The 7,788-nt window shown below is 40.0% G+C and overlaps 1 annotated feature.

Annotated features, from left to right (window-relative positions):
- Window positions 892–1,061: an enhancer, noted in NCBI's record as "experimental_69968 CRE fragment used in MPRA reporter constructs". NCBI's record gives its function as "activates a minimal promoter by MPRAs in K562 erythroleukemia cells, with activity observed for the non-introgressed 3:3582014 variant allele {active_cell/tissue: K562}" and the evidence as "EXISTENCE:reporter gene assay evidence [ECO:0000049][PMID:34662402]".

Raw genomic sequence — 7,788 nt, 5'->3', positions numbered from 1 at the left:
AATGAAAGTGAGTCTTATACCTCCCCTATAAACTTAAAACCTTTTACTTGAGTGATATAAAAAACAAAAAATGAAAGCAGGTCTTTGTTACCCTAACATGTTGGTAATCTGAACCACTTGCCATGATCCATCTCAAACTCTGAATTCACACTTGCTTTCCGATCCCGGCTGTATGTACTTGATATTCATTCTTGTTCTTATGATCTTCATTGGTCTCTGACCTTCAGCACAATTTATATAGCTTTGACCTTTAGCTTCCCAAGTTTACTATGATGAGATGCTGACTTTGGTATTCCCATTTCCTAGCACGTTGCTCTCTAGAGCTTCATATCAACAGCAGGTGGTAGAGAAAAATCCAGAAAGGCAATTAGAGTATGATTATCTGAGGGCTTAGGCAATAGAAAATTAGGTAACAGCTCAAGGAGGCAGCAGCTGTGGAGGCAGGCTACAAAGAAAGTGATTGTAGGTTTGTTTTTTGGTCAACTGTTACTAGTAGACAGTTGCTTTAAAGTGTTCCTGATCCCTTTGGCTTTAGATAAACCTAAGACCAAGTGGAAAGAAAAATGGATAAATATATGTGACATGAATGACATATTTAGATGTCACTTTATAATATAATGCAGTTTGTAGAATCTTAGTGCTTCAGTGGACTCTAGAAATCGCATAGCCCAGAAATTCTTTAATCAAAGTTAAGAATGCTTTCTATACTATAATGCTTACTACGTACACACGCAAAATTAAACATACAGTTTTTCATAGACTGCCTGAACTCAGGGACCAGACATCACATAAAGAACCCCTGACTAGACCCCAATATTGGTGTGTTTAAATGAGGTAACGTAAGTCTAGGCAGGACGCATAATCTGTCCAGGATAATGTAAAGTGTAAGTGACAATGCCAAGACCAGAACCTGAAATTCCTAAATGCTGGCTCTGCAGGACATTGATAGACAAAGAAAAAAAAATGATCTTGATGTTAGTCAGGAGATTAACCTGAATGAGCCAGAGAAGCAATTTTGGGTGATAAGGGGAGGACGTTTAAGCCTTTGGTTCATAAATGGGCAGTGATGCAGTGAAAAGTTGGCTTGGCAGATCTTAAAGGAATGCTTATAGTCCTTGCAGACCAGTGGAGATCACCAGTTAGTGCATCAAGAATACTTACAACTGAATGACCCCGTTTGAATTCCTGTGCAATCTTAGGCATAAGAATTTAGTTTGTTGGGAGAAAGTTGTATTTTGAAAAAAAAAAAAAAATGGTTCCTCATTTCGATTTTCTCATTAGTTTCCTGAGTATCTTTAAGCAAATCATCTAACCAAGTCACCAGCATGGCACATGTATACATAGGTAACTTACCTGCACATTGTGCACATGTACCCTAAAACTTAAAGTATAATAATAATAGAAAAGAGGTTTTACTGGGGGAAGCTTAAGGCGCCTCCTCGCTTGAAAATGTAAAGACCAGATGATTCGTTTACTGCGATTTAAAGAGATCTGAAGCTTTGCTTTTATTTGTTTGCTGATGCACATGAGGACTGTTCAGTCCAGGAGACACTGGTTTCTGCAGTAAATGTAATGTCAACTGGGCTGCATTTCTCCCATTACTGGAGCTTGCTTTCCAGAACTGTGAGTAATGTCACATGGCTGTTTGTATATGCACAGCAAGACGCTTCCAACAGTTTCATCTTGGGAGTGTGATACTCAGTGTCCTACAAGGACTTGTAAAAGAAGGATTGCTGAAATATTAGATCATCAATGGTTCAGTATTTACCTAGTAAAATTGAAAAAGAACATCAAGATGATCTATAGTCACTTCGCTCCAAGGTACAAATGTCATATTGGAAGAAAATCCATTATTGTGATAAATTTTATCAGTTTCCCATGGGGGGACGCTCTGTTAGGTGAGTGTGGACCCGGATAGTGGCTCCTACAGGAAGTCAAAGGGGAGTTGTTGGCTCATCATTTGATATTAATGAGGCATCTGCTTCATAAGATACTACGCAGAAAGGAAACATATTACCTGAATTCTCCCACTATGAGATTTCTCTATGATGGCCTAGCAGCAGCACAGACTTAGTGCAGCCCTGAAAGCAATGGCATAAGGGAGGAATTTGTCATATTTGTTTTCATATAAATATATTTGGGAGTAGCTCCCAATACAGTTTTCCAGTACATGAAGGAATGATGAAAAAAGAGGTGTTTTATTTTAAATTGAAGACAGCATGGCACAGGATTTTCCATTTCAGTGTGCAAGATGTACATTAGATCTTGTACCTATTTTATTATACCTTTTACCTATTTAATTATAAAGTTTATGACTGCAGAACATCTGCAGAACTATGTTCTTTGGAGCTTTTTACATATTATACTGACCCGTAAAACTGGGATTGGTGGAACAATGGTATTGACATTATAACAAATCAGGTGATGAAAAACATGGCTTATGAACATGGCTATGTGAAGCTTATGATTCAGTATTTGCAATATAAAGGTTTTTCGTTTGTTTGTTTTTAAAATTGTCTGACCACGCTATATATATAAACATGAAGACAATTGGAAGTTGACTACATTCTGATCTTTCTTTTTGCTGCTTCAATGCAGATTAGGTCTATGAGTTACCAACCCAGGGGAGACTGGAAGTGGATTCCAGTCTGGATTTTGTTTCCATGGTAACTCATCAGCAACCATAGCTTGTTCTACTTCTTTTTCTAGCTGTTTAACTGACTTAGGTATGTATTTTAGTGTAATGAAAAAGACATGACTATTTGTAGGAGTTACGCCAAGTGCAGAGAATCTGAGGAGTAAGAAAAGGTTGATTTCCCAAGGGAAGCGGTTATTAGAAACAGGGTTTTTTAAAATGCTAATCTTGCCAATATTGGTAGATTCAGAAAAACCCGGGTATGACTAGATTGTCATTTAGCCAGATAATGCAAGCATGTCTACATCTCATCTACTGCTGATCAGTGGTCCTCACAAGTTCCCTGAAAGAGAGGAAGGGACTGAAGGCCCTCCAGCCAGCCAAGAGTTCCTGATCAGAGTTTAGGTCCCAAACTAACACAAGGGGCTGAAGAGCGGCACCATGTGTGGGTGGTCTATTACTTCCTAAGCAGCTTCAGAAGAAACAATGGAGAGGACGTCACAGTCTATATCACAGCCCTGGCCCCAGACCATGGGTCAGACCTTAGCACTCTACTGAGAGAGACGGTGAGGTAATTACTCGCCTAGTAATTTATCGAGACAAAGAAAGTGAGAAGGTGTGGTTCTGAGACTTGGTGGTGAGTTGCAAGGTAGGAAAGAGGGTCTCCATGAGAGACGACCTGGCCTTAGGCTGGTTCATCATTCTAGAAGAAAGGACAGAAATAAAAGAAAAGCTTGCCATACACATCTGTGCTAAGGTTTTGATCTCTCATGACTCCTCCCACCCGTGAAAAGACACTGTCTGAACCCAAGAATCTGAACCATGAGTGGGGAGAAAAAAGGAACCTGAATACTTTCCTCTAGAAGCAAATAAGAATAAACCGTCAACTCCCATTTTCCTCTTTCCAGCTTGCCATTATAACTACCCATTGTCAAATTAGCCATCCCGAGGAGGAGCCCACTGACTCGGAGACACCCTGAATGTTGAAGCCCAGCGGGACATTGGAAATCGTCAGGCCCCCTATGCGTTTATGCCCCAGCAGTAACTTGCTTAGTGTCACAGGGCAGTGGCAAAACCAGGACTGGGGCTCCGGTGCCCATCCCCGGGGCCTGTTGCCCACACATGGCTGTCCCCACTCTACTTCTGTGGTTTCATGGGCTCTTTCTTGCCACACATTCCCCATCATGTTCACTTGTTTGTTTTAATGTGGCTGTTTTCTGGGCTCTGAAGCTAGCTTGGCTAAAATGTTATTATTTGTTTGACACCCTAGATTCTGTTCAATGTAGGACTTCCATGTTGTTACTGTGATTGAATTCATTCTTTATTTTAAGTGTATGAGGTAAACAAAAATCAGAATTAATGGCCCAAAGGACCCTGTTTAATATGTATTTATACAATAAGATGATAGCACCTTATTGCTGTGAAGGGGCAAAGAATGTAATTAAGCCTATGTCACCTTCGAGGATAACTCTCTACTGATCTCTCATTTGGCAAATCAAGTATTTGCGCTGAGAAAATCTTCCTGGTGCCACTTACAGAGCTCTCATCTTTCCTCTGTGTTCTCACAATACTGGGCTCAAAAGCAATTAGAGCATTTGCCACATTGTTATAATCCTCTGCTTCTATGTCAACTGGCCATGCCTTTCCCTGGAATGCTTTCCCACTCTAGTGGGGACAAAACAGATCCTCTTAACAGTGCAGTGCAAGACCCTTAGCTTGGCTTTGCTCACCTCCCTGGCTTCATCTAGTGCCACTGCCTTTCCCACAGCACACTGGCCCCACTGGCTTGTTGTTTCTCTCATGACCTCTTTTCTTTTTGTAGCACTTATGTTAATTTATTTTACATTGATTTCTGTGATTATTTATTGATGCTGAAGGAGAGACAGGGTAATTCTTGAAATATGATTCCCAGCCATTTGGGTCAGGATGTTCCCTTGATGGCAAGAGCACAGATGGAAGAGGAGGTGTGTGCAGAGGTGCAGACAGGAGCCTGAGAGAATCCTGTCTGATGGCTTATTTTGTCTGTGATTTGCAAGCCTTAGAGAGGGCCATGGGGAGTGGGAAACATGATAGAATATCTACCTACGTGTGGCTCAGCTTCTGTATTCAAATAAAGATAATGAGAGGACTTCATTCATAGGATTCTGTGAGGATGAAGTGAAGATTTTATCCGAAAGCTCTCAGAAAGGTGATTGGCACATCGGCAGCACTAAGAACACATTAGCAGTCATGGATGTTAGTCCACACTGCACCATTTTGTAAGCTCCCTGCTATTTTGCAGACTTTGGTCAAAGTGAAATATTTCATGGGGGTTCGGGCCGTAAGAAACATCCTGTCTAACCACCTGACCACAAGGCAGACAAAGGCCCAACTAAAGACAGAGGCCCAACTAAAGAGACATCCCTATCACACCCTGCTGGGCAAAGGTCCAAGGAACACCACTATCATATTCTATGGAAACAAGGGCCAAAACTGCCTCCTCATGAGAACATCTTATCAATATCCTGCCAAGCAGCAAGCCATACTGCCTAGACCCCTCCCACACATACCTGTAAGTACCCCAGCCTGTAAGTGGTGGTGGGCTCTGGCGTTAAGCTGGTCCCCCAATACTGCAGGCGTCTGCAATATACCTGTCTTGCTGTTTGAGCAGCCTTCTCTCTGTTTGTGTGTCTTTCTTTAACCCTTGCCTTCCCTTAAAAAATAAAAAAAAATTTTAAAAAAGCCTAACAGTGGAGGGGGAGGGAGCACAGTTCTGTATGATACTTTATATCGTATGGGTTGAATTGGGGTTCCCTAAAATGTGAATATTGAAGTCCTAACCCCCACTGCCCCAGGATGTGACCTTGTTGGGAAATGGTGACATTGCGGATTTAATCAGTTAAGTTAGGATCAGGTCATGCTGGAGTAGGGTGAGCCCCTAATTCAACATGACTGGTGTCCTTATAAAAAGTGAAATTTAGACCTATTCACTCACACAGAGAGAAGGGCACATGAAGATAAAGGCAGATATTAGGGTGATACATTATCTACAAACCAAGGAACACCAAGTTTGTTAGCAAACCACTAGAAGCAAGGAGAGAGGTATGAGACAGATCCTCCCTCATAGCCCTTCGAAGGAACCACTGCTGCCTATAGCTTGATCTTGGACTTCTAGCCTCCATAACTGTAAATTTCTGTTGTTCAAGTACCCAGTTTGTGGTACTTTCTAATGGCAGCCATGGCAAACTAATATAGTGTATAACAACAGAGGCTGTGGAGAATAATTGGCTTGATTTGGTGGTTTCATCATTTAGTAGCTGTAGAACAATAGGTAAGTTATTTAACTGTCTTCTCTCATCAGTGAAGGTGGGAGAACAGTAGCAATCTCACAACACGTAGTGAGTGCTTATTCTGGGCACTATTCTCTTATATCTCAGAGTATTTAATGTCATGCTACATCCTGGGTACTAATCTGTTCTCTCATATGTTCTATACAAGCCCTGAAGTAGATGCTAATATTATCCTTAGTTTGTGGCTGCAGAAGCAAGAATAGAAGGTTAAAAGCAGGTGGCCAGCGTGGGGTTTAGAGCAGGTTATCTAGCTTTAGAGCCTACCCTAAACCATGCCACTCCCCTGCTCCCTGGTGCCACCTCACAGGTATGCTAGAAAGATAAAATGAGATGATGCTTAGGAAGAACATAGAACGGTGCCTGGAATGTTGCATGCGTGCATTAAGAGATTAGCTATCTTATTTAAGGAGAATGAGGAAGGGATGTAGCAGTTGTTGTGGGTAACAGGACAGCCTTCTCACCAGGAAAAAATGAAGAGATAACTGGCCAGTGACAGGTGTCCACTTGAGGATAAACAGTTTGGTCGCATAATTTTTCTCTGGCAATGCTTATATTTTAGAAAGCGTTTAGTTTCTGTATGAGCATGATGGTATGAGACAGCAATTCCCTTCTTTTTCTTCTGGATAGCATACTAAAGCAAAAAGATGAATGCAAACATAAAATAAAATAAAAAATCAAAAACAACAAACTAGTAACTCCTTTTGTGGTGAAAGTAGGTGATAGATACAATGTGCTGAGTAAGAAGTATGTAAGAGATGCCCAAGTGGCTAAGGTCTTCACAGGAGCCAAATGGGTGAAATGCAACATACCTTCATCAGGAAGGTGAGAGTCATGGAAGGATGGAGAATGAAAAGCAAAATAGAACAGGGAGAAAAGAACACATATGCTGGACATAACAGCTGAGAGTCAAAGTCATGCTTAAGATATTTGACACATTTTGCAATGTATGATTTTTAAGACATTCAAAAAATGGGAATAAATTCATTCTTGGCATTATAAAACTATGCTTTTCTCAACTCAAAAGCCAGCATCAAACAATAGGACAGCACTAGACTCGTTTCTAACTAAAGGTAGGAACAAAATAAGGAAGCCCTTCTCATCACTTTTATTTAACACTTATTGAAAATAAAATTAAGAGAGAGGAAGATGTTGTATCTTAACAAATTTTAAAAGGAGGTGGTAAGGTGAATTTTATGGTATGTGAATTACAACTAAATAAAGCTGTTACCAAAAAAGGAGGTAGCAAAACAATTACTCTTTTGTAGATGATATGGATAATAACACATACCTAGAAAATTTAGGAGTAACTCAAATATTAAGCTAACAAATGTTCTGCTAAAAACTAGAGGGCAATTATTATGCAGATATCAGTAGCTTTTATATATACAAACAGCAAGCAAAGGAGGCATTCCACACTGGAAGTAGGAAAGTTGCAATAGAAGAGATGGACTACGCAATACAACTGGTAAAATCAAGTGCTAGTCCAGAAAGCAAAAAAGAAGAAGTTGAATCTATCTCATACACCATATACCAAGAAAAATCTCAAATGCATTGATTTAAGTGAGGAAAAATGGAATTATGAAATCGCTGGAAGAAAACACACAAGAACTACATTATAACCTAAGAGTAGAGGAGGTCTTATTAAATATTTCTTAAAATCTAGAAGCTTTAAAAGATTGATGAATTCAACCACATACATTTTTTAAAAAGGACTTGCATAGCAAAAATCAACATAAGAAAAGTCAAAATACAAATGACTAGGAAAACATTTTGTAATTTACTTGTGAATAAAGACTAATTTATATGTCAGACACTTATGGAATA

The sequence above is a fragment of the Homo sapiens genome, chromosome 3 (assembly GCF_000001405.40).
Source record: "Homo sapiens chromosome 3, GRCh38.p14 Primary Assembly".
In the NCBI taxonomy this organism is placed as follows: Eukaryota; Metazoa; Chordata; class Mammalia; order Primates; family Hominidae; genus Homo; species Homo sapiens.
This window is presented reverse-complemented; position numbering and strand designations above follow the sequence as displayed.